This window comes from Homo sapiens, chromosome 4, assembly GCF_000001405.40.
Source record: "Homo sapiens chromosome 4, GRCh38.p14 Primary Assembly".
Lineage (NCBI taxonomy): Eukaryota > Metazoa > Chordata > Mammalia > Primates > Hominidae > Homo > Homo sapiens.
Window position 1 is genome coordinate 57,544,225 of NC_000004.12, and position 1,953 is coordinate 57,546,177.

Consider the following 1,953-nt stretch of genomic DNA (forward strand, 5'->3'; position numbering starts at 1 on the left):
TAGTTAGTGGGACCTGGTGATTGACTAAATGTGGAAAGTGAGTTAAAGAGATTAATCTAAAACGAACTTTAGGTTTCTATCTTGTAACATCTGGTGGGTGAACATGCCATTAACAAAAACAGAGAACACAGGTGAGAGAAAACAAGGATTTGGGGAAAATGTATTCAGTTTTGGACATTATGAACTTTTGACGCTTATGAGATGGTTAGGTAAAAATGTTCAGTAGGAATTGGAAAGTGGATTTGGAAACCAGGGGAAATCAGAGGTGGAGATAAATTTGAAAGTCACTCACATGAGGGAGAGTTGTGATAGTGCGAGGTGTTAAAACCACCCAGAGAGAAGGTTTAGCGAGGAAAGAGAAGTGCGTCAGAGAGGTACAATGAGGAATGCCTGATATTTGCCAGATAGGCTAAGGAGGAGGAGCCAGAAAAGGAGTTTTAAAAGGGGTCATACCTGCTCGTTGTGCACATGTACCCTAAAACTTAAAGTATAATTAAAAAAAAAAGAGATCATAGAGACGACAAGAGAACCAGAGTCAAGCAGTGTTTTGGAGAGTGATACGGAAAAGTTTCAAGAAGAGGGAGTGTTCAATAAGCCAGATATTGCCAAAAAATTCATATTGGATAAAAGCATCTTTTTTTCCCCAACTCTGCCTAGCTACCCACTGGGCCATGGCTATCTCATAACGCTCTGTCTGCAAAACAGAAAAAAGGATTTGAGGGAGCTCAAGTTACTTTTGTGTTAGAAAAATGAGCCCCTCCCTCCAGTTGAAGGCAGCACTTAGAGCTTGGCAAGCAGTGCTTCTCTTGCCTCCTTGCCTAAACAACCTTGTGTGGATCTACATTCTGCAAAACCATAAGTAAATTTGGTTAACAAGGGACAAGGGAAATCAATGAATGATTGTAGGCAGCATGAGGGTTCAGAAGAGGGAGATGGAGGAATTGAGGAGATTCTGAGTACTTATTTATTACAAAATAATTGCCCTTGGATCCAAGGAGAGTAGGAGAGTAGGGAAGAGAAGAGGCTGGCCAACTTGAAGAAATGAGGTGGGAAGTCATTTGAGATCCTGACGAAATCAAACAGCACGGTTTCTAAAGGTTCATAGGGGTGAAAGAATTGATTACAATATCAATGGAAATGGATTCTGGAGCAGAAGTGAGGATTTGAAGAGGAGGAGGTCATGAAATAATGGGACCAAGGTGTTAAGTGGTTCATCAAAATGTATATTGAAATCACTCAGGATAACAGTAGGCAACTGAATAGAAAACAAAACAGTGATCCTTAGGGGATGTGTGAGAGTGATGGGGAGGGAGGTCAGTAATGATAATAAGATTGGAAAGAAGGCAGTGTAACCTGATGTCATTGGCTTCAGCTAGCAGCTGAAGCAGAAAAAGCAGAAAAAGAATTTTCTTCTAAATGAGTGCGTTCAATTTATAATTTAACAATTCTCTAGGTAACAAAAAATTCTTAATCTTGCTCTTTTGTTTGGCTATAGTGAGTAAAACATGATAGACCAGAGAAAGGCAACAGTAGAGGAATCAGGGATTTATAAAAGGCAACCAGAAAAAGAGTGGTTTTGGGAGAAATTAAAATTTTTTATTACTATAAGTAGAAGAATAAATAATCACTCTGAAGGAACATACCTTTTAATAGGATTTCCTTAGGTGGCAAAATTATGAGAAACTGTGAGACTCCTGAGCATTTCTCTCTAGAGGGCATTTTAGCTCAACTAGACTTCTTGACCAAAATGTCCCAACTTTAAGAAAGTCTGGGATAATCCTGAAGTTTATCACTGGGAATGTTTGATACATTATCGATATTATGCTATAACTCATTGACTCAGTGCTTGAGAACTTCAAGCTGAACCTTCTCACATTACGGGAATTATGTTTTACCCATTAATTCTTCTTATTACTCAGAGACCTGGGCAAATCTGTGCAACATTTCTAAAAA

General features: G+C 38.8%; 2 annotated features.

Moving 5' to 3' along the window:
* Positions 640 to 1,158: an enhancer, noted in NCBI's record as "OCT4-NANOG hESC enhancer chr4:58411030-58411548 (GRCh37/hg19 assembly coordinates)". NCBI's record gives its function as "activates a minimal SCP1, AML or CMV promoter by ChIP-STARR-seq in naive H9 embryonic stem cells {active_cell/tissue: H9 hESC(naive)}" and the evidence as "EXISTENCE:reporter gene assay evidence [ECO:0000049][PMID:30033119]".
* Positions 1,159 to 1,675: an enhancer, noted in NCBI's record as "OCT4-NANOG hESC enhancer chr4:58411549-58412065 (GRCh37/hg19 assembly coordinates)". NCBI's record gives its function as "activates a minimal SCP1, AML or CMV promoter by ChIP-STARR-seq in naive H9 embryonic stem cells {active_cell/tissue: H9 hESC(naive)}" and the evidence as "EXISTENCE:reporter gene assay evidence [ECO:0000049][PMID:30033119]".